This window comes from Homo sapiens, chromosome 5 (genome assembly GCF_000001405.40).
Source record: "Homo sapiens chromosome 5, GRCh38.p14 Primary Assembly".
Classification (NCBI taxonomy): Eukaryota; Metazoa; Chordata; class Mammalia; order Primates; family Hominidae; genus Homo; species Homo sapiens.
In genome coordinates this window covers 89,400,581-89,426,742 of record NC_000005.10, presented here as the reverse complement: position 1 = coordinate 89,426,742, position 26,162 = coordinate 89,400,581, and the positions used below count along the sequence as shown (strand labels likewise).

Sequence of the window (26,162 nt, the reverse complement as noted above, 5' to 3'; positions counted from 1 at the left end):
ACTATCCGAAGCTCAGATTGTCCAATTTCTATTTAATTTATTCTGTATGAATGCCTAGACTTGAAAGTAAAGTCAAGTATCTAATAGATACCCATGAAACTTTATTAAATTCTTCAGAATCTTTAGAGTTTCCTCCAAGTCTAAATTGGCAGTCCACCCTGAATCTAAATGTAATGTGCTTATTTTGAGACTTCGGATATGGTATAATAGCATTGCCTTAAATCTGTGCTCATAATATTATTCATGATAAATTACTATCATAATGTTTACATAGATCATTGCATAAAATATGTTTAAAGTATGACATTCACTTAACAAAGAAATACAACGAAATTTTTTAAATATTATTTTTCTAAATTAGTTTCCTAAAATATTATATAGAAACAAAATATTGATCGTTATGTGTTGTATCCACCAAGTCTACCCACTGGCAACCTTGCATATAGAGAAAGAGGAGTGATGCATGGTATTTAAATCCACTTTAGTATCAGAAAAATGAAGAAGCATGAATCAGGGCAATAGTCAAAACAGATACAAGAAAATGCCTTATAATGGTATATTAATGTCTGAAAAGTTTAGATTATGCTCCAGTAATCCAAGTAAAGATGTAATCAATACACACAAATGATTATAAAAATAAATACGCATTGCTTAGAAGTCTTAATTCATTCTCCTATAGCTGATTACCTGATATCATACACAGCCTGAGTTCCTGTGATACCAAATATTCAAATTACCTGAAGGTAAGGCTGACTATACTAAAATGATTAATTCTGAATGATAGGTAGAAAATAAGCACAAGGTATAGTATATTTGATATTTATAGTAGATGTTGTTGTTCCTAATTATTCACTATCTCCCCTCTAAGAGTATAATTCACGCCCACTCTTACCGTGCCTCTCAATAGGTAGATTATTTTCTGTTTCATTGCCATGCTGAGCCATGTGACTTGCTTTTGCTCTTAGATGTGACATACACTGGACAAAAGCTTTAAATGTGTTTGCACAGTTTGGATAGGTGCTTCTTTGTTCTGCCAGGGGAAAAGCATGTCCCAGATTGGTGCTACTTTTTCAACCTGGATCCTGGGATGAGAAGACATGCACAGTAAAGCAGTGCTAACTTGCAGGCTTATAAGCAAGGAATACATGTTTACTGTTATAAGTCACCAGGAACTTGGGGTTGCTTGTTATAGCAATACAATTTGATTTAACACAAATGCAAGAGATAATTTTACACTCACTATTGGTCTTTTAAACATTTTGTATACTCTGTCAGCTTACTATTCCTCTGAGTACATTTGAATTGTATAAAAATGTTACTAGCAGACTTAAGATGATAATACTGCCAGATTTGCTCCCACAGATTTACCTGTTGGACTCATTGCCATGGGTTACCTTGGCCACTGAACCATTTAAGACTTGACACTGCTTTGAACGATCTTTTCTCAGATGTGGTGACATCTGAGGCTTTCCGCCTAAACTATCTGGTTTTTGGGCTTCCTATTTGAATCTGTCTTTATCAACTTTTCTGGAACGATAACACTGCAGCTGACATTTAAATGTGTTAACCTCTGCTCCTGCCAGAGATGCAAAACCATAATTTTACCTGGTTCTGTGTTTCTCTCTTATTGAAAGTACAGGAGGATCACTCAGACTGCAGATGAGACTATTTGCCTATCTACCAAATCAAAGTTTGAAGCGGATTGATTCTACATCAAACTAAGGAAAACTAATATGCAAAAGGAAGTCAAAGCTTTTAAGGAAGGGAGTGACATAATCACTTTTGTTGTTGAAATGGATAACTGTAATAAAAAATGGTACAAGTAGTGTAGAAGAAGATAGTGGCAGAAAAAATAGGAGAAATTTTGTAAATGCTAAAGTTCAGGCAAGTGGGAGGTTACTCTGAAGTCACAGAGTAATACCACAGGAGTCAAGAGTTAGGGAGTTTTTAATGTCATCCCAACAAATGAAACAAGTTCAATTTAGTGTTAGTAGTATTTTTTTAAATGATTTTGGGTGAAAAAGATGGTGCGTGGTTGCACAGGAAAGTTATTTATTGGTGATTTCTGAGATTTTGGTGCACTCATCACCAGAGCAGTGTATACTGTACCCAATGTGTAGCCTTTTATCCCTCACCCACCTCTATCCTTCCCCCTAAGTTCCCAAAGCTCATTATATCATTCTTATGCCTTTGTGTCCTCATAGCTTAGCTCCCACTAATAAGTGAGAACATACAATGTTTGGTTTTCTGTTCCTGAGTTACTTCACTGAAAATAACGTTTCCAACTCCATCCAGGTTGTAACAAATGCCATTATTTCATTCCTTTTTCTAGCTGAGTAGTATTCCATGGTCCATATATACCACATTTTCTTTATCCACTTGTTGGTCAATGGGCATTTAAGCTGGTTCCATATTTTTATAATTATGAATTCTGCTGCTATACACATGCATGTGCAAGTGTCTTTTTCATATAATGACTTCTTTTCCTCTGAGTAGATACCCAGTAGTGGGACTGTTGGATCAAATGGTAGTTCTGCTTTTAGTTGTTTAAGGAATCTTTATACTGTTTTCCATAGTGGTTGTACTAGTTTCCATTCCCACCAGCAGTGTAAAAGTGTTCTCTTTTCACCACATCCATGCCAACATCTGTTATTTTTTCATTTTTTAATTATGGCCATTCTTTCAGGAGTAAGATGGTATCTCATTGTGGTTTTGCTATGCATTTCCCTGATAATTAGTGATGTTGAGCATTTCTTCATATGGTTTTTTTGTCATTTGTATATCTTCTTTTGAGAATTGTCTATTCATGTCCTTTGCCCATTTTTTGATAGCCTTCTTTGGGGTTTTCTTTCTGATTTGAGTTCCTTGTAGATTCTGGATGTCAGTTTTGTCAGATCCATAGTTTGCAAATATTTTCTCCCACTCTGTGGATTGTCTGATTACTCTGCTGATTATTTCTTTGGTTGTGCAGAAGCTTTTTAGTTTAATTAGGTCCCATTTATTTATCTTTGTTTTTCTTGCATTTGCTTTTGGGTTGTCGCTCATGAAGTCTTCGTCTAAGCCAATGTCTAGAAGAGTTTTTTAGTGTTATTACCTAAAATTTTTATGGTTTCGGGTCTTAGACTTAAGTCTTTGATCCATCTTGAGTTGATTTTTATATAAGGTGAAATATAAAGGTGAGGATCCAGCTTCATTCTTCTACCTGTGGCTTGCCAATTATCCCAGTATCATTTGTTGCATAGGGTACTTTTTTCCCATTTTATATTTTTGTTTGTTTAAATATTTGGCTATATTTCTGGGTTCTCCATTCAGTTCCATTGGCCTACTGTTTATTTTTATATTAGTACCATGCTGTTTTGGTAACTACGACCTTGTAGTATAGTTTGAAGTTTTGTAATGTGATGCCTCCAGATTTCTTCTTTATGCTGAGTCTTGCTTTTGCTATGTGGGCTCTTTTTTGGGTCCATGTGAATTTTAGGATTGTTTTTCCTAGTTCTGTGAAGAATGATGATGGTATTTTTATTGGAATTACATTGAATTTGTAGATTGCTTTTGGCAGTATGGTCACTTTCACAATATTGATTCTACCCCTTCCTGAACATGGGATGGTGTTTTCATTTGTTTGTGTCATCTATGATTTCTTTCAGCAGTGTTTTATAGTTTTCCCTGTAGCGATCATTCATCTCCTTGGTTAGGTATACTGTTAACCATTTCATTTTAGTTTTTTGCAGCTGTTGTTGATTCTTAGCTTGGTTATTGTTGGTGTATAGCAGTGCTACTGATTTGTGTACATTGATTTTGTATCTTGAAACTTTACTGAATTAATTTATCAAATCCAGGAGCTTTTTAGATGAGTCTTTATGGTTTTCTAGGTATGCAGTCATATCATCGGCAATTCCTGATGAACATAGATGCAAAAATCCTCAACAAAATACTAGCTAAGTGAATCCAACAGCATATCAAAATGATAATACACCATGATCAAGGGGGTTTCATACCGGGGATGCAGGGATGGTTTAACAGATACAAGTCAATAAGGGTGAAACATCACATAAACAGGATTAAAAACACAAGTCATATGCTTATCTCAATAGATGCAGAAAAAGCATTTGACAAAATTCAGCATCGCTTTATGATTAAAACCGCAGCAAGATCGGCATAGAAGGGACATACCTCATGGTAATAAAAGCTATCTATGACAGACACACAGCCAACATTAATACTGAATGGGGAAATGTTGACGTTTTCCCACTGAGATCTAGAACAAGACAAGGATATCTTCTTTCACCATTTCTATTCAGCATACTATTGGAATTCCTAGCCAGAGCAATCAGATGAGAGAAAGAAATAAGGGCATCCATATCAGTAAAGAAGTAGTATTTTTGCTAATTAAATATGTTGCACATTTGACAATGTAACAAGTGACAAAGTAATTGGAGAGACATTCTGTAGATTAGATTATTATATTCATCAATCATTTAATAGTGTGTGTGAAGTAAAGATAGTGAGAGAACTCTAATGATTGAGAAAAAGTACAAAACACAAAAGAGAAGGCAGCTGAAAAGTTACTTGAACTAGTAAACAACACACATGATGTGATACTCAAGGAGATACTATTGTTTTAAAAATTAGGAATCAGCTGGGCATGGTGGCTCATACCTGTAGTCCCAGCACTTTGGGAGGCTGAGGTGGGTAGATCACAAGGTCAAGAGATCAAGACCATCCTGGCTAACATGGTGAAACCCTGTCTCTACTAAAAATACAAAAATCAGCTGGGCATGGTGGTGTGCACCTGTAGTCCCAGCTGCTTGGGAGGCTGAGGCAGGAGAATTGCTTGAACCCGGGAGGTGGAGGTTACAGGGAGCTGAGATTGCGCCACTGCACTCCAGCCTGGACGAAAGAGCGAGACTCCATCTCAAAAAAAAAAAAAAAAAAAGTTAGGAATCACCACTTTGGGAGGCTGAGGCAGGTAGATATAGATCACTTGAGGCCAAGAGTTCAAGACCAGCCTGGCCAACATGGCGAAACTCCATCTCTACTAAAAATGCAAAAACTATCCAGACATACTAGCACATACCTGTAATCCCAGCTACTCGGGAGGTTAAGGCATGAGAATCATTTGAACCCGGCAGGTGGAGGTTGCAGTGAGGTGAGATCCCACCACTGCACTCCAGCCTAGGGGGAAAAAAATAAGAGGGAATCACATATTATGTTTTCTTCACTCATAAAGAAATTTACCTAATTTGACTTCTTTGTTATTGGCACTGAAAAATAAGTTCATTCCCATAAAATTCAATGTGACACTTTGACTAAATAAAATTGTTATTACCAACATTTTATGACTGAGAGGTTAAACATTAATAAGTTAGTCCAGTAACTCAGCCAGCAGAGGTTAGTAGCATTTGGAAAAGAATGCTCTAATTTCTCTTTAGAGACCTTCAGTTCTGGAAGAGATTGGTGTTGAAATCCTTTAGGTTAGGGCCTAATCCTTTGGGTTCAGCATTTATGATATGAACAGTAGTAAAGATTGCAATCTTAAGGATGAGAAAATAGCAAGTCAGAATGTAGAGGTTCTCAGACTAATAATCACAGTCAGCAAAGGTTAGCTTCCTGATTCTCTGCTTGAGGGAGATGATGACTCATTAATTATACAAAGCAACTCCAAATACGGCTTTCACACATTTCTCTTTTCTAACCCAATTTTACTTTAAGTGAGGAGTGAACACAAAATGTAGAGTTAAAACTCCTTTCTTACAAAAAAGGAAGAAAGAAAAAGAAAAATAAAAAACCTTCTACTTATACAATTGTATGGTAAATATACTAGTCTCAGCATTAATCTTACACTGAAGATGGCCTTTTGATCACTTTATTACTTGTAATTTTCTTTTTCTCAACATCAAAATGAAAATCTCAAGTTCAACTGGGTGGGAAATGACAGAACCATATTTTGTACAAAATAAGGATGATATTCAAAATTGTATTCTAGGCACTGTTTCCAATTAACTATTTGTTGATAATTCTGATGCATGCCCTGAACAAAAGAGGTAAAATTTATCACAGAAAGAACTATCTTGATGTTATAAAACCCCTGCTGTTCTTTGGGACCTCTCAAAGCAGCAGCCTGCCTTGGTTCAGGACAAAGTCATTTTCTTGTATGATTGACTAAAAAGGGGTCATGTTACCAAACTAAGGTGGAGAATACAAAAAGTAATATTGTACTACTAGGCATTCTGCATACTTATGTTAAAGTAAAGTAATTATAATGGATGTGTATTAATAAATGAATACATTTTTATAAATAAATATAATGGTCTTTTTAGAAGATACAAATATAACTAAATTTATCTTTTCTTATTTCTCTGTAATATATCCATGAAAAGATATCCTAAAAAGAAAAACAATTCTCAACTGTTGCTTAGAAGAATGAGAGAACCAAATAAATTCTCAATTCTTACAATAATTTCTACAGTCTGTCACCTAATGAGTTAAAACCTAGGAATGGTGTCTTCTGTCAAGCGGCCCTAGGCAGTCTTTCTGGAGAGGCATGCTGCCAGAAGTTGTTGTTCTAACAAGGGGAGGAATGAAAGGTACTACGGCAGATACAACTTGAATTCAGAGAAATTGGCTCAGTAAAATCAATTTAATGTGTGCAGTATAGGAAATATTATGTTGAGGATAGCCTGAACATTCCAGCCCCTAATATGTCTAATAATTTCAGGGCTAGAAAAAGAAAACAGATGCAAAAATCCGCCTGAACCCTAAACTCAATTTGGAGAATTTAAGAGGAAAGCAGGAGTGAAATGCTCATCTCCAGCTGACATACTCCTTGTTTTCAAATACGGAAGATCTACCCTGCTATTAAATAGAGCATTCTTTACTATGCAGATTATGAGAAGAGGAATGGAAGTATCTCCCCAAGATAGCGTGCTCCCTAATTCTAACTCCATGTGATACTTCATGTTGAAAATCTTGCTATTGGTATAATGCTCTCACATAAGAATGAAAGTTTCAGCATCACAGAAATACAACAGACAGTTTCCTTTGTCACATCACTAAGCCATTCCTTGAGTTTGTAGTTGAATCTTGAAAATTTTTCTTTCGCAGTGAATGGCACCAGTGGAATTTTCTCCAACACCAAAGAGAGCCATAAACCTAGCACTTGTCACAAAATCTCAAATCTGTCTACCATTAGACTAGATCTCTAGAGATTAGCCAAAGAATCACAAGAAGAGAGGAAGAACAATAATAATAACTTGACTTAGTAAAATTTTAAAGAACCAGAAAAAATAATTGGGAGAAAAAAAAATGCCTGTGCTATTCCTGATACAGAACAATCACACAAAAGTAGATTTTGAAAACAGCTGGTATTCTTTTATACAGAAGAAAATAAAGCATAGTAGCTGCAAAACAAAAACTGAACCAATTAAACCTTGTTAAAGAAAAATCTAAGTCATCAATGAAAATAACTAAGTAGTGAAAATCAATGACTCGAACGACCACTCAATGAAACAGGAAATAAAATTAAGCAACATGCAAAATGGAGAGAAGATCATTAATTTTCTGAGCTTAAAAAAAGAGGGAAAAATGGTAGACATGGAAGAATATCACCGTTTTTTAAATGCCTAATGAAACTACATTACTGGGCAATGATTACCAGCGCTAATCAACATCACACATTGAGATACCCAGAAATTGTATGCCTCATGAAGGAAGTACACAATACCAGCTATGGAGAATTCTTGTTGAAAACAAAGTTCACTCTGATTGAACCTATTAGTCTGTTCTTATGCTGCTAACAAAGGCATACCTTAGACTGGGTAACATAAACAAAAGAGGTTTAATTGACTCACAGTTCAGCATGGCTGGGGAGGCCTTAGGAAACTTACAATCACGGTGGAAGGGGAAGCAAACATGTCCTTCACATGACAACAGGAAGGAGAAGTGAAGGGGAACTGTCCTTTAGAAAACCATCAGATCTTATGAAATGTATTCGCTATCACAAGAAGACCATGGGAAAAAGCCACCCCCATGAATCACTTACCTCCCACTGGGTCCCTTCTACAACACATGGGGCTTATGGGAGCTACATTTCAAGATGAGATTTGGGTGGGAACACAGCCAAACCATATTATTCATCCCTTGGCTCCTCCCATATCTCATGTCTTCACATTTCAAAACCAATCATGCCTTCTCAGCAATCTCTCAAAGTCTTAACTCATTTCAGCATTTACTCAAAAGCCCACAGTCCAAAGTCTTATCTGGTACAAGGCAAGTCCCTTCCACATATGAACCTGTAAGATAAAAAATTTAAAAAAAGTTGGTTACTTCCTAGATACAATGGGGGCTGGACATTGGGTAAATACACCAGTTCCAAATGGGAAAAATTGGTCAAAACCAAGGGACTACAGGCCCCATGCAAGTCCAAAATCCAATAGGGCAGTCATTAAACTTTAAAGTTCCAAAATGAAATCCTTTGACTCCATGTCTCACATCCAAGTCAAGCAGACACAAGAAATGAGTTCCCAGGGCCTTGGACAGCTCCATCCTGTGGCTTTACAGGGTACAGCCCCCTGTCCAGACTGCATTCACAGGCTGGTGTTGAGTGTCTGCAGCTTTTCCAGGTACACGGTACAAGCTGTCAGTGGATCTACCATTCCGGGGTCTGGAGGACAATGGTCCTCTTCTCACACCTCTTCTAGGCAGGGCCCCAGTGGGGACTCTGTGTGGGGGGCTCCAACCTCACATTTCCCTGCTGTACCACCCTATCAGAGGTTCTCCTTTAGGGCTCTGACCCTCCAGCACACCTCTGCCTGGACAACCAGGTGTTTCCATACATCCTCTGAAATCTAGGCAAAGGTTCCCAAACCTTAATTCTTGTCTTCTATGCACCTGCAGGACCAATACCACATGGAAGCTGCCAAGGCTTGGGGCTTTCACCCTCTGAAGCAAAGGCCTAAGCTGTACATTGGCCCCTTTTAGCCATGGCTGGGGTGGATGGAATGCAGGTCACCAAGTCCCAAGGCTGCACACAGCAGGGGAGCCCTGGACCTAGCCCAGGAGACCATTTTTTCACCCTAGGGATCTGGGCCTGTGATGGGACGGGCTGCTGTGAAGGTCTCTGACATGCCCTGGAGACATTTTCCCCGGTGTCTTGGCAATTCGCATTTGACTCCTCATTGCTTATGCAAATTTCTGCTGCTGGCCAAAATATCCCCCCAGAAAATCATTTTTTGTTTTCCACTGCATTGTCAAGTTGCAAATTTTTCAAACTTTTATGCTGTGTTTCCTCTTGAATGCTTTGCCACTTAGAAATTTCTTCCCCCAGATACCCTAAATCATCTCTCTCAAGTTCAAAGTTCCACAGATCTCTAGGGCAGGGGCAAAATGCTGCCAGTCTCTTTGCACAGCAAGAGTGATTTTTACTCCAGTTCTCAACAAGTTCCTCATCTCTATCTGAGACCACCTCAGCCTGGACTTTACTATCCATATCACTATCAGTATTTTGGTCAAAGCCATTCAACAAGTCTCTAGGAAGTTCCAAACCTTCCCACATTTTCCTATCTTCTTCTGAGTCCTCCAAACTGTTCCAACCTCTGCCTGTTACCCACTTCCTAAGTAACTTCCACATTATTGGCTATCTTTACAGCAGCACTCCACTACACCATACCAATGTACTGTATTAGTCTTCTCACATTGCTGATAAAGGAGGCTGAGTAATTTATAAAGGAAAGAGGTTTGATTCACAGTTCAGCATGGCTGGGGAGGTCTTTGGAAACTTACAATCATGGTGGAAGGGGGAGCAAACACATCCTTCTTCACTTGATGGCAGAAAGAAGTGCAGGAGAACTTCGCCATTTATAAAACCATGAGATCTTGTGACACTTATTCACTGTCATGAGAACACTTGGGGAAAACCTGCCCCCATGATTCAATTGCCTCCCACTGGGTCCTTCCCACTGGGTCCCTCCCATGACACATGGGTATTATGGGAGCTACAGTTCAAGATGAGATTTGGGTGGGGACACAGCCAAACCATATCAGGCTTGTGCTATCTAATTTTTAGTGTGCTGGGTACAGAGGAACATATGCCATAAGAATGCAGTAAGAAAAACCTGATTGTGAGAAATTCTGCAAGAGAAGTAATTCAGTTTCTTCAACAGGTCAATTGGAGGGGAAAAAAGAAGAGTAGAGAGTAGATTTTAAAAGACTTGAGAGACATAGCAACTAAATTTACATCTGAACCAAACCTAAAGTTATGATAAAATCAATGCCAGAATATGATGAGGAGCTGGTCTCAGAATGCTTACAGCAAAACAGTAATACATTAATGTCATGCAAAATCAAATTGTCACTCATATACATGGAGGGAGGGTAGGGAAGAGCTTCTTTTCTCTTCTACAGGGCTGAGTTCTATTTGCCTAACACTCCATTCCCCAGCTCACATCCAAGCAGAAGCAGCTGAAGCAAATATTTACTGGGGACAGAAAGAGGATCATGGAGGGTGAGCTGGAAGAGTCTTTATGGCAATGGCTAAGAACAATACAACTTCTTTTAAACTGAAAAAAAACAAATGAGTTTCATGTACCCTAGTGAGATTCTAATTTAAATTATAAGCTTTATCCCTGTACAGACAGTGCTAGATCAGCTAACTCAAAATCCATATTGCATTCAGTACCAGGAATGAGAAGATGAGGGGAGTAATCTCAAATTAATATAGTTTTTGAATAAGACTTAATAATTGTCTTCTACTATACAATTACACATTGGTTCCAGATTGGTTAATTATGTATGAAGAGGAAAACTTCCTTCATAGGTAAATTTCTTAGACCCAAACAATTCTGTAACAAGAGGCAGTGAAAACAGTCATAGTGCCAGAAACATGGAAATGCTTGCTCATAAAGAGAGTGTGGGCTTTGTGACTCAAAAGTCATTCAATTCAATTCTACAATGCAAAAACACAAAACCAAGGAGAAAATGGGAATTCAGGTGTTTGGAATAGACTATGCAGAAAAGGAAGAACTTTATAAAAGACTTCACAATGGAGATGCCATAAAGGCAAATTTAGAAATGTATGGAAGAATCTAATGATGGCTCAAATTGAATTTTTTGCAAGATGAGACATTTTGCATAAATGGATTTTAGTCCCTGCCACATGCTGAATGCATAGGGCCAAAATTAACCTTTTAATGGGAGAGTCCTTCTGACTGAGTGTGCTTACTTCAATTTCTTTGAACTTTAACTCATAAGGACGATATAATATAATTCACTCTTTCATTCTTGTTTCAGAGTCGCTGGGTGGGTGAGTATGCCTAATTCTGAAATTCAACATTTAGGAAGTACACTATAACACAGATATAAGCCAATTCCTCTATAAAGGAAGAATTGGTATTTTGGTTGCCTTCTCTGTCTTTTTCCACATATTATTTCTCAATTGGTGAAGAGAGATACTACCTATTATTTATCTCCTCCTATATGAACACAAAAGAAAGATTTTATCATTTGAGTTTACTTTCTGAAAACTTGCACACCAAAATAAACTGTTCCTACAGGATCATTAATGGCACTGTCCAGAAATCATTAAACAAAAGTAACTCTTAAAAGGGAATGCTTCTGTAGAAAGAAAACTGGAATTTCCAGTGAAACCAATGACAAAATAAAAGATAAGAGAAAAAAAAGAATTAGAGATCCTTAGTTTACATAAAGCCTCATTTATTAAACAAATACTTATCTATTAGATGCTCTGCTAGGCAGAGTAAATACAATGTTGAACAGAAATATGTGCGCCTGCTTCCACAGAGTTTGAATTGTGTCTAAACAGAAGTAACAAAACAAAACTAAACAAAAACCACCAAGAGAGAAAGATGCTATGTTATCCTATATGCCTAAATTGAGAAACAGAATCGCTATCACACTAGCTGGGCCAAAAAGGGTAATGTGTTGAAGAAACAAGAAGGGAATTTTTTCTTTATCTTTCTTAGGCTACATGGTATTTTAATACTAATACTTCTGTAGTGCAATTTTATTTTCTTTTTTCTTTTCTCTCCCCAGGCTATCCCTATTTCAGTATGCACATGGTAGACACTGAGTGCCCAATGTTGGTTCTGAATTTCAACACACAATTCGGATTTCATCTTTGAGTCATAGTTCCTGATTGACTCACAGAAATCTGTTTGACCCAAAGTTAAGGGTCTACCACACAACCAATCATTAGTAGCCAAAGGTTGGGTAGATTGGGGGTTAGAATCATATAACACTAACATAAGGATTAGCTCTCTTGGAAGACTTTGCTACTTGCCTATGCAATGTCTATTCTCTACAACTTTATGGTTATAATAGAAACCTAATTTTGTATGGGGCAACAATGTTTCCAGTTGAAATATAATATTCCTTATCCTTTCTTGTGGATAAAAATAGTCATTTGACAAGGTTCTGGCACAATGAAATGTAACTTGGATTTTCCAGATGGGGCTTTGGATAAAGCTTTTTAAAGGGAAGACATTAGAGGTTCATGGCCTTTGTCTTTGGCTTTCGTATTCTTCTTCCCCAGAACTCAGATACAAAGCTGGTGGTGGCTAACCATCTTACAAGCATGGAATGGCAAGCACAATGGCAAGTGTTCATGTTAAAATCAGCTGAGTGAAGAGGTTAAAGAGAGTAAGTCTTAAATATTATTTCAAAAGCTACTGTAAAAGCCCTGGACTTCTCACCTGCAGAATTTTGTGAAGTGACAAAAATAAACTTTCTGTTTAGCTAAATCACTATGAATTTTATTTTCAGTCATAGGCAGCCAAATGATTTAAGTACTGCCCCTTTGTGATTAGTTTGTGATGCCTATCGATATCAGATAAGTGGATTTTGATTGATTAAGCAATTCAAGCAGACTTACCTCCAACAATAAATGGGAACAACAACCGTAATCAAAATACAAAAAGAAAACAAAAAGTTATTGTTAAAGATGCAGACAAAGTTAGTAAAAAATTAGAAGAGAATGGAGAACGTTTGGGCAAAAGCCGAATACTTTTTACACTCTATGACAGTTTAGACCAATATATATAAGCGTGGAATAAGAATATTTGTGCAATGCCTCTTAAATCATTCAACACAATGTAAACATCAAAACTAGGGTAAAAATGCAACTATAAGTTAAGTCTAACTAATAAAAGTGTTCATTAGATGAGAACGAGAACGTCTTATAGAAAAATAGATGGAAATACTATGTAAACAATGAGTTAAAATCGCAGATTGAAGTGAAAAAAATACTAGCTAGATGTAAGACATGAACCTAGAGCAAATGAAATGCAGAAAGTTAAAAAGAGAATGACAAAGACTTATTAATAAACTTTGTGTGAAGTCATCATGAGTATTATTAATATCAAACAAATCAGAAATTAATCACTACATAAGCTAGTCCATTATTTACTAGTTTTTAAAAATGTTAATAAAAGCCAAACATTAACAAATATTCATGTACCAAACAATATAGTATCCAAAAGCATAAGGCAAACGTTTTTAGAAACATAGTATTTGTCAGAAGTTGAAAATTTGTTTAATCTCATTATGTGTCTGTGACAGGTTCATTATGCAAAAATCAATAGAACTTCCAGGGGAAATTAAAAAGTTACAGAAAAGTATGATTTTGATGTGATAGAGGTCTCAGTTTGAACCTTGGATCTAAGTAAAATGCTATGTTAACAAAAGCCTCATTTTGGAATTAAAGAGGAAGAAGAAATAGGAGAAAGGAAATATTTTTGCCCCAACCTAAGAAAATGAGAAAAAGAGATAAAGAAGGGGAGGTGGAGGGTAGGTGAAGCCGCAGGGGAGGAAGAGGAGACATAAGAGGAGAAGAGAAATCTAATTCAGGTTCTGTATTATTGCCATTATATGCATTACTTCATTTAGTCTTCACATGTGCCTATTCCCATTTTACAGAGGAATGAATATAATTTCAGAGGTGAGTAATATTCCCAAGATCCAACAAAGGGTTTTTCTTTGTTTTGTTTTTAATGCTATCATATTTTCTTTTTCTAATATTTGAAATTTAGTTTTTAGGGTCATTCTACTTTGAAAAGTTTACAAAATAAAGAAGAGTAATTTTCTAGTTTTGGAGAAACAAAATTTTAAATTGTGGTAATGATAAGCTTCTTGACTCAAGAGTCTAAACTGTATATTATCATTTGCTTAGAACTTGTTGATAAATACTCACAATTTACATTTTTAATGGTCATACAATTGAATGTGTTTTGAGAGAAACTATTTCTAATATTATTCACATTTGTTTTCCAATCTCAGAAGCATGAAACACAAAGGGGTAAATAGCTTAAAATAAATAAAAAGTTGTGTAGTTTACATACAAATTACATGATCCAGGTCAAAATATATAGCAAAATAGAAATCTTCTCACTTTTACAAAGTAACCATTTGAAATCCTTTAAAGCATTATTCTCTTTAAACATTTTGAAACAAATTTGCCTTTTGATTGGAACTATGTGTTTCATTATAAAGATGGAACACGATGTTCTGGCTTACATATTCTCTGCAGAAGGAGGTCCTTTTTTGTACTGAATTTTTAGCATATAGTAAAGATCCAGATTGTAAAAAAAATTAATTTCAGGCATGACAGACTGGAAGTATATATTGAACAGATCTGGGAACAGAAATGATGCAAATGCCTTTCTCCCAGCTTCTGAAAATTATGTAATGGACCAGAATTTCAAGATAGACTTCTGTTTGAGTGAAGCATGGACTCTCAATCAGAGGACAGTACCAAAAATGGCTTTTGGAAAGCAAAGTATAAGGCAGTTTCCCACAAATGGTAGTTCGATGAGCATTGACTGTAGTGGTATCATTATGGCTAAGCATCAGGATATTCACACATATTGTAATTATTAGTGGTGGTAACAGAACTTGGATAGTAAATATTTATTGTGAATGAGCAAGAGCAGTAAAGGAAATTGACTCGTGAAAGGAAGAGGACCAGTGATGCGTTAAAAGCTAGAAATAAAAATCAATAAAATTGCTTTAATTTTCAGCATATTGCTATTATGTTTAAAGTATTATACACTTTGGTCAGTCACAATGATGATGGTAACATTTATACTGCCTATACATTGATTTTTATATTATTTAGTGTTTTCACCTCAAAGCAAACAAGAATACTGATAAATAAGCTGATAAAAATACTTGAAAGATTTGTCCCTTCCTGTCATTAAACTATTTAAAATATGGTAGTTGCAAAGAGTGCAACTGAATACTGCTAACCACTTGCTATTATGAAAATTTTACCATAATGTGTTTGATAAATGTCATTAAAAAAACTAATGAAAAATTAGTAATTCTAATACATGAAAAATTAGTTCATTTATACTTGCATACATATACCTAGAATTAGAAATCTTTCTAATAATACATAACAACTATCAATAGAACAGATGGATGGACTTTTAGAAAGGTTCTGTTAGCCATTCCACTTAAAAATTGTCTACAAATTCAAGTCAATGCAATGCAACTCAACAAATGTTTTATCAAGAGTCTGTTAATGTGCAATTTTTCCCACAAAATGTTTCTAGGGAGGGAAGGAATAGAAAAGAAACACATCCAAATTTTTTTTGTAAAAAGGACATGACAAATCACTCAAAAATACAAACAAAATGCTGTGGAAATATACAGGTGTCTTAAATGTCTGAAGCATCAGCAAAGACTTCATGGCAGGGCTGGCATCTGAGATGGTAATGTTAGGGCAAGAATTCAACGTGAAGAGCTATGAAGGGGGACTTCATTCAAGGATGAAAGCCAGTGCAAGCCTACTCTCATAAAATTACCTATAATACAACAGTAGAAAGCCATTAGCTTACTTTCCCTTAAGAAGGTAAAAGATCTATAAGAGACAGTAGTGATATTCAGTTATCCAAGCACTCAGAGACCCCAAGTAGCCAGGGCTTTTCTACAAGCAGCTTGTGCAAGATGGATTTTCAATCCTATCTCTATCTCTACTCTATCACCTATTATTTATTTATCTAGTCCTATTTTTCAATTATGATATATCTGTAAAATAGCCGCTACCTAATTTTATCAATGACGAAGTAGATACACACACACACACACACACACACACACAGACACACATACACACACTGTGTTTGCTGTTCTCAAAATATCACCCTGATGACATGACCACAGAATTTATAAACCTTCAAACCTCACTGTGTGAAATACTTTCGTAGAAATTTTTCAGAATGATCCTGCCCAAACCCATGTTTTTAAGATAATGTATAGGTGAAATTCTATGTCACATAGACTCCTGATTTTAAATTCTCATTAGGATAAGATTTGTGTTACGAAAAAAAAATACAAAAAAAAGATAAATGAGCAGAAATGTGACATATTAATAAAACAGAGAGAAAAAGAGAAAATGTGTGTAATTAGCTTAATTGCTTTTGTGATGTATTCAAATCAAAATATTTTCAATATTTTAATCACAAAATATATTTTTAATATTTAAAATTATGGCTAATGCCTTAAATTCCTATTGTTTCATCATCTCCAGTAAATTTTCCTGAATATTTTTTCACTAATTATATTTTTTATTTCTCTAATGTGTTTTAAGTAGATCCAAGCTGAGATCTTTATTTCAATGTAAAAACTTTAACATATATATATATATGTTTTTTTAAAACACTCTTTTTGCTCTTAGAATTTTCTTTTTTATGAAATGGAATAGTAAATGGCCATATACTATTTAATGGCGATAGAAGTGCCTACCTGTTCTGGAATCACTTTCTCCTTCTCTACTTATGGTATACTATTCTGTTACTTCCTTTTCCTAATAATACTTCTTTATATCCTCATATCTCAATGTCTGTTTATATGCTCCCTCCTCCAAGAAGTCTTTCAAAATAAAATGAAATATAATAATAATTATATATTTCTTACTGTTTTTACATGGCTGGCACTGAGCTAAATGTTTTGCATCTATTGTCTCCTTCAATATTCTCAGAAACCCTCTAAGGAAATATTGTCAACCCATTTGATAAGGAATCAAGGGTCAACACGGTTCAAGTGACATCCAGGTCTGTCAGATTCCAAAAAGCAGCTTGCTCTTCGTGTGTGTGTGTGTGTGTGTGTGTGTGTGTGTGTGTGTGTGTGTTTTAATCTCATCCTTTTCCAGATGATTGTATGCAAATATATATGCATGAATTTGTGTGTGCAAATACATATACATACATATGTATGTATGAATATGTATATATGTGCAAATACGTATACATGGATGTGTTTGTGTGTGTATTCCTACTGATTTTTGTTGAAGATTACAGCCAGTCTTTTTATGTGTGCCTGCAGATTGGATCATAAAGCAGTTAAATGAAATGATAGAGTCTTATTCAGTCTTTATCCAGTCTTCATAGAGTCTTCTCATTTTTATTATTTAATGCAGTAACTGCCAGATAATAGTCACTCAATAAATTATTATTGATTGAATATCAAAAACATCTCTCAATTTACCTAGAGAACTGTCTGAATAGAGTAATAAACTCCTTACATTCTTATATTTTCATTCATTATTGCCCACACAGGTGCTTTTCACTAGGAATAATATTTTCTATTCATTTAATTTTCCCCATTTTTAAGCACGTTTTAAGGAAATTTGCCTATTACTCAGAATAATATATTCTAAAAATGTCAAATTTGATTTTGCATAGCAAAAATGATTACAGATTAAAAATTTTTATCACAAATCACCTTTCATAATAGGAAAAGTAAGAAATAATTTTTTTTGAGGGATCTTCTTTTTCAGTTGATACTAATTAGATTTTTTTAAACCAAGTTTAAAGCTCACACTGTTCTGGCTTGAACAGTGCCAAGTGATAATCCAATGTGACATACATTTCCTATAGCAATAACATTTTGGCAGATAAATTCCCCAATGAGAAACAACCATTTCTATGCTTAGATGAATTTTGTGATAGAACGCAAATGAAAAAAAAAAAGTAACAGAATTTTCAGAAAATACTCCACAGTATAATGAATCCCCTTTCCATATTTACAGAAAGTGCCTCAATCCATAGAGGGTAAAAACATTGAATATCTAATAAACAATACATCATAGATTCCTCATTGTCCTTGGAATGTTGATCGAATAACTGATTATTATTTACACTAAAATTCATTCCTAGAAATCTTGTATCCTTTCCCTTCATTATGCAATGCTGTCTTGGACCTGGGAGTCTAGAAATGTGGAAATTATAACACTTTGACACACCATGTAAATGAGGTATCGCAGTAACATGCTATTTAAATAAAGTTTGGAACAAACATTCAGTAGGGAAGTTTGGAAAACTTATAACAAGATTACCTCATACTTTTTTTTTATAAGAGTATTCTTGTATTTCCCCCAGCCATCTTTTAATTCCAACAAGAAGGTACAGTGTGCCAATTTAGCTCTCTGGCAGCAAAGCTGCACATTGTATTATTGTGGCAATTAGTCAGGAGCTGAGCTTGTCGTTTGAGCCTCTCCTCCTTTCCTTTATGTAGATAATATTTGACTTGGAGGGTCTCTGTCTCTCTGATGGAAATACCTGAATTAGATATTATCAGTCTCAATCAACAAGACACTTTCCATCATCAGTTCTGGAATTGAGGCTAACATGGGACAGGTAATAGAAGTTTCCAGATTAGCCTATGTGCTTTATTCATTTTTTACATGTTATTTTCATGATTAGTTGCAAGACCTAGACAACTGGATGCCTGTGGAAAGCTTTAGGAGAGATTCAATTTTGAAGTTTCTTTTTAAAATGTAATAAGTGTATTTTTAAAATATCATGGCTGTAGCAGCACAAATGACTAGCCATAGTTAGAGATGCCACCTGTGGCCATACAAAAAAGAATAAAATGAAAATATCTCATTTTTGGAACATAAGCCCATATCTTTAGAACTGTTCTGTTTTTAGGGGCATTTATTTGCTAATGAGCTGGAGACCAAAAAATGTATATATTTAGAAATAAAATGATGTAAGCCTAAGGAAATTAAAAATTCAGATTTCCTTGTGCAAATCTCAGTCAGACAGGCTGCATACACCCCCAAATATTTATTTGTTAAAATTAAAATATTTCTTTACTTTTCTAGAATTCAAGAGCTGCTAACTTGAGGTGGCTTAGAAATCTCATCTGGTGTCTGTCTTGTGTCTGTTTGGCAGCACCTGAAATCTACACTTCCTAAATTTTCTGTAGTTTTTGAATTCCAATCAGAGACCCCGGCCTTTCTTTTCAGTTTTTTCCTTTTACATCTTCTTCTGAATGTCATATCATAAATAAGCATTTAATATGAAACTTCTTTCTGTAAACAAATTAGATAAGTTCCAACAGGCTGAAAACCAGAGAGAGCAAAGAACTATCCACGGAAGAATCTGGCAAGGGAGGCCCAGACAGTCCCTCTCTCAGAAAAGCCAATGCATCTCCTCAGAAACTATTTCAGTCACCATGTGTTCTCTAAATAGCCTTCTGAAGAATTTCCCAAGGAGATTTCTTCCCAGGGCACTTAAGAAGGTTCCTTCCATTAGGGTGCGTTTTTGGGAAGAAGTGGATGAAAGAGACCATTAGGTCAGCTTACTAAAGATAGCTTGCCATATACTTTAATCCTGACGGGGGAAAAAAGACCAAAAACATTGTAATGAAATAGCAGAATGCTTTCTGAGTAACAGTATAAGGTTTTCAAATTCAAGTCTGGCTATCCCAATGCCAAAACATATGTACATTGGAGTATGGAAAGCCATAGCTTATAAATAATCTATCTTCTAATGTTTTCATTCCTGAAACTATTTCCCAAAATAGTGCGCTATCTCTTTTAAAACTGTGGCCTTTCTTATTTACATGACTAGAGGAGTAAAAGCCAAATTATCATTTCACATCTCTTAGGCATCTTCAATGAAGAAAGCCACTTGTCAGTTTTATTTGCCCAAGTACTTTAAATTGATGAATCGTTTTTAAAGAAAAGCAATATAATTTAATTCTACTTTTCATTTGTGCTTTTTGCTCGTTTCCAGCAGAGCTAGCTGAGAGAAAACTGAAGGGGACTAATTTAAAATCAGGGTGGATAGGATAAGAGATTGTACTTTCTTAATGGAGAGTTTACCAAAAACACATTTTAATTTTTTATATTTATGATATACTTAGCACTGTAGACTTAATTGTACTGGTTGTTTGCTTTGCTGAAATATATTATAAGTTTATATATATTTAAATAAAAACACTTCCACTTGGTAATATCCACTAAACCTACTTTTTAGCTATAAATCCTTTAATTTTTATTTTGCTTTTATTATATCTATGGTCAAAGAGATAACAATAGATGCCTCAGTTTTTTTTCTTTTCTTGTGTGTACACGTGTTCAAGAAATTTTAAATACTTTTATATTAAGCAATTGCCACTTTCAAATATGGAAATATATCCCTTGTAGTTCTATCTGTTGATTTCTAAACATACATAAACATAGCTACTGCACATTGGCCACATTTTTATGACAGATTTTTTAATTATAACTTATTCTCTTAGGCCAACAAATGGTCATAATTTTAAGATATTGTGAGAGGAAAAATCATCTCTTTCTCCACACACATCCATAACAAATACTGGCTCATTTCTGGTTCTGTTTTGTGGTAGCTTGCATGTAAAGAAAACTCAAAAGAAAGCAATTCCTAGATTTTTATCCATTGACTGAATGTTATAGGTTTTGTGAAAGTACTTACATATTATTTAATAATTTCATCTGATTTGTAGTTCTTGATTTTTAAATGAGAAATTCTGAATAGATTTTCTTCTCATAATCTCTTGTCTGTGTATACAAGGATGCCATTTTATTATAAATTACATCTATTTTATTAAATCATTTTTTATTTTTCATGAAAATATCACACCCTTAAACCATGTTGAGTGAATTCTAACATTTTTCCATGAAGATCAGGAAAACCTACCATTGAAAGGCACATGTTAGACTTTCTTGATTTTAACAGCTCAGAAAAAGGTATTCTGTAAGTATTCCTTGAAATTGGATGAATATTAGATTACCTATGAATTTTTTTCTTTTGATAGGTTTTAATTAATGAAACCACTATCATTTCAGCCTCCACTATAAGCTAATATTGTAAAAGAGAGAATTAATTAAGATACAAGACCTTTAGAGATCCTAAGTTTTACAAATTCCACCTTAAGATAATCAGATAACAGATTTTTAATAGCTGCTATCAGTCTATATTTATCGCAGTTCATTGTAAAAAAGATTAGACATTATAAATCAGAAAGTCTTAATGATTACTACATTGTGCTTTACTATTAAATCAAATATGTGAATAAAAATCTTGTAACTTTAGTCTTAAGTCTGCACAAAACAAAACAAAAATCAGTGGAACTAGCTGATTTTCAAGTAAATGCAGTCAGTTGAAAATCAGTTTAACAAACATAATTAAAATGACTAACTGGGGAAATACACCAACTATGACAAGCAAAGAGTTAAAATCCTTGTAACATGAAGAACTCATAGATTAATATCAAAAATACTAACACCTTGGTAAAGCAAACAGAGGTAACTTGAAAAAGAGTATCGCACATACTAGTTGTGTGTACACGTGGGTTGTGTGTGAATATAAAAGCATAAACAAGAAGAATATGCAGAACAGAAATACTCTCTGGGGAGAAAGAGAAAGGAAAATACAAGGCATTTTAAGATAGCTATAACATTCTATCACAAAAGCAAATCAGTCAATAAATGAAGTTAATATTGTGAAATTGCCAGTATTTGTCAAATTTTTCTGATAAGTTCAGAAGGACATATTTTCTGTGCTTTTGTTCCACATGTTTAAAATAATTTGTAATTTGAAAATAATCCTCAAAGAATTTACAAAAGAAATGTTTAAAAAGACCAATAAAAAATAAAATAACCATTAAGAAGTTTATCACACTAAAATAATTGAAAATATAATAAAAAGAATGATAAAAATTGGCAAAAAGCTATCAGAGATCTTTTAAATGCAGGATACTCAATGTTAGCATGGGTAGGATGACGAAGTCACATTCATACAATGCTGTGGGAGTGTAAATTGGCATAACCTTTATGAAAATCCATTTGGCAGTAGGTATAAAGAGCATGAAAATGTTCAGCTCATTTTGATCTAGTAATTCCTTTTCTGGGAATCTAGCCTACAGACAAAAGACAAATGTGAATAAAAAATATATAGGCACAAATAGTCTGACCATTTATTCATCTCCTTAATGAATATTTATTTATAGAGCCTTACTGTGTGGCTGATATTTTATTAGCCACTAAGTCTACAACAGGCATGGAGACAGATAAATTCCCCATAGATTTTGCCCACTTAAGCATTTTTTTGTAAGAAGAAATTGAACACAGATTATCCAACAACAGGGAATATGTATATTTATATATATATACATATACAGCATATCTCATATAATTAAATGATTATAACTTTATTGTATAAATTAGGGTGTACAATATGGTATTTTGATACATATATACATAGTGAAATAGCAAACTATCACATTTATTGAGGAACTACTATGTGCCAGGACCTATTTTAATCATGATTACATGTATCATCCCATTTAATTCTCACCACAATCCCATGAGGTAGTGTATTAACTTCCTATATTCATCCCATTTAATTCTCACCACAATCCCATGAGGTAGTGTATTAACTTCCTATTTCTGTTGTAACAAATTATTATACCCTTAGTGGTTTAATTAAGCAAAAGTTTCTTCTCTTACCAGTTTTGGAGGTCAAAAATCCAAAATGGGTCTCACTAGGCTAAACTCAAGGTGTTGGCAGGGCTGTGTTCCTTCTGGAGGTTCTAGGAAATAATCCATTTTCTTCCCCTTGTCAGCTTCTTTCTAACTGGCATTCTTCAGCCTGTGGCCCCGTTGCTCCATCTTCAAAGCTATTAAGGTTATGTTGAGTTCTCACACTGCCATATCTCTTGCTCTCTCTCTCCTGCCTCTTCCACTTTTAAGAACCCTTTTAATTACACTGGGACCACCAGAATAATCCAGGATAAACTCCCTTTCTCAAGGTAAATTGATCAGCAACCTTAATTATACCTTCAATCTGAATGCTCCTTTACAATAAAGCCTAACATATTATGGGAATTAAGATATGGACATCGTTGGAAGACCATATTCTAGCTATTACAGGTAGGTACTAGTTTTATCCTCATTTTACATAAAATAAACAGAGAGAAGAGGTGTTTGTTATTTTGTCCAAAGGTCATACATATACTTAGTGACGAATCTGGTATTTAAATCTAGCTAAGGCCGGGTGCGGTGGCTCACACCTGTAATCCCAGCACTTTGGGAGGCCGAGGTGGGCGGATCACGAGGTCAGGAGATCGAGACCATCCTGGTTAACACAGTGAAACCCCAGTCTCTACTAAAAATACAAAAAATTAGCTGGGCTTGGTGGTGGGCACCTGTAGTCCCAGCTACTCAGGCGGCTGAGGCAGGAGAATGGCGTGGACCCGGGAGGCAGAGCTTGCAGTGAGCCGAGATCGCGCCACTGCATTCCAGCCTGGGCAACACAGCGAGACTCCGTCTCAAAAAAAAAAAAATCTAGCTGACCAATCCAAAATGTGGGCTTTTAATCACTGTGTTGCAGTACTTCATAAGCAAATCGCTAATGCTAAATCTTCTATAACAAAATAGAAAAGTTTTCAGAGAATAAAAGGTGAGAATCTGCTAAGACGTTAATGCCATTTACATCTTGGTAATAAGCTCATGAGCAGTTTTTATTCTGCTATATTATATGTTTGTTTGTAATTGCCACGTTTTCTTTAATGAATGTGGTTAAGAATTGTTCTATCATCAACTTGATTAAGCTGGGAACTGTTTCCTAAAAGCAACTTCCATGTCTGTATGTAGGTTCTAGCTGACCAAAAGTTATATTGCAAATATTCTGGAAGATGGAAGCAAAGCACAACCATTACCCTCTAATGGTCATCATCAGTCAGGCTGTGGGAGACAGATGCAGCTCTGCAGGTGATTTCAAACAGTTAGGCTGTAGTTCGCTGTGCTGCAAAGTCACAGAGACACTAGCCATGAAAAGCCAATAACCTTCCATATATTTCTATACCTGTCTCCCTTTGTTGCCCCTGTTCTGCAGCTGTATGTGCATAGCTTCCAAATTTCCATGTAAGAACTGACTCATCCATCTGTGTCAGGACTGGCTAGTTAACTTTTCTCTAGTATCGCTACTCCCTTTTTTTGGACTTTTACATCCCTAGCTTCTCTCACAATTGTGTAAGTTCAAATTCTTATAATAAATTTCTTTTTCCTGCCATGCACAGTGTTTCTGTATTTCTGATTGAATCCCAACTGATACAGTTATTGGAACCAGAACTCAGTTGCTTCTGCAATAAAAAGCCGCAGGAAAGAAGGTTCAAGTTAAGTATTGGCAGAAATATCAGCTTTATCTGTGGTAATGTGGAAAATAGAAAGTGTACCCAAGAAAACTCATTGATCTGGCTGGGTAAATAGTATGTTGACAGTACTAACTGATTTATTCTAAACATATGTGATAAAATATGAGAAAACAGAGATAAACTTATGAAGGAAGTGTTTAGCTGTTTGGCAGAACTTAGGTATTAAATGGTCAAGGACAGTTGTTCCACTGAGATTTAGGCTGTTAAATGAAGAAATGGCCTCAGAGTAATGATCAAATTCAGGAACCTTCTAGTAAAACATCATCTCAGTTTAAAAGTGGAGTCAAATGCAGTTTTAACTGTGTATTGGGACTACAGATAGACTTAATGTCATGCCTTGTAGACAGAAAAACAAAGCTTGTTAACTTGCCCTTTAGACCTTCTCTGCTAGAGGGTGTCTCTGGATTTTAAGGGTGTTATACCACAGCACCCTAAGCCTCAGGTCGAGATAGAGAATGAACTGTTGTAAAGACATCTGTGTGTATGCTTTTGCCTAATCATGTAACCATCAATAATATTCTGAGAAACCCACAATGTTTTTAAGACATTTGCATTGGTAGAAGCACTAACAAATTGCATTAAATAAGAGAGGATCAGTTCAAAGCAAAAATATCATAGGCTTTCAAATTTCTATGGGAAGAAAGCAGGCTGAGACAGTTAATCACCTACAAACATGAGCCATTCTCTGTAGAAAAGGAAGAAAGTCTCAGAGTGCAGAGCCGCCTGGCTGGAGAGTGGAGTTAAGAACCACAGGGAACCACTCCCAGGGAGCACAGCTGGGCCCTAATCAAGGAACTGGAATTGTTGCACTGGCTGGATCAGAACTGCTATGAACTAGTAAGTACTACTCATTCCTCATTCCTCCTTTTTAAATGGAAACGTTCACTGTAGTTATCCTGATACCACACCTACCCCAAGACCATCTTGCTGCAAGGAAGCCCAATGTCTACATGGACAGGCTGAGTGGAAAGACAGAGGTGACACAGAAACCCAGCTGGGCCGGGCTCCCAGCCCACGTGCCAGTGTCTGTTGCACCAATATGGAGAACAACCAAGGAATTCAACTGACAGGGACAACCAAGGACTCCTGAAAACCCTCATCCCAGTCAGCTCCAGCTGTTTGCATCACCCCAGCTGAGGTGCCAGCATCATGTGGAAGAGATGACCTATATTTGCAGTGCCCTGTCTGAATTTATGACCCACCAAATCAGGAATACAATAAAATGGTTGTTGCTTTATTCCACCAAGTTTTGGGATGGAATCAACACATAGCTGAAACAATATGCAGTCTGTACTTTTAAAAAATATGTACTTATTTTATAAAGAAATTTTAAAAATGGATGGATAATGTCCCTTTTTTCCATTTGCTAGTTTGGCAATTTAAAATTTAAAACTTAGAGGAGTAAACACCTGAATGTTCTGAATCAAAAGGTGGTAATTCATCTAGAATTCAATGCCATTACCCAATAAGCATTTCTGTGTGGCTTCAAGCTGGAAGTTGCCTTCCCTTCCTCTTTCTTCCCATAACTCTTAATTTAATGTACCATTCATCTGGCATTCCCCATAAACTGCTTGGTTAATAGGTATTAGTGATTTCATATTACATTGTAATGATCAATGCAATGTGCTGCAGAAGATTAAAAAATATATAAGGTATTATTTATGTCCTCAAAGAACTCAAAG

General features: G+C 35.4%; 2 long non-coding RNA genes across 7 annotated transcripts in view; one reads left to right on the top strand and one right to left on the bottom strand.

Annotated features, from left to right (window-relative positions):
- The window catches only part of MEF2C-AS1 (MEF2C antisense RNA 1), a 584,252-nt gene that overhangs the window by 40,839 nt on the left and 517,251 nt on the right, over nucleotides 1-26,162 (bottom strand). The gene's annotated exons all lie outside the window — the stretch shown is intronic.
- On the top strand, nucleotides 16,994-24,435 carry LOC105379073 (uncharacterized). The gene is made up of 4 exons (XR_001742436.3): nucleotides 16,994-17,066; nucleotides 23,077-23,197; nucleotides 23,921-24,037; nucleotides 24,346-24,435. It is a non-coding gene; the product is annotated as an uncharacterized LOC105379073 (long non-coding RNA).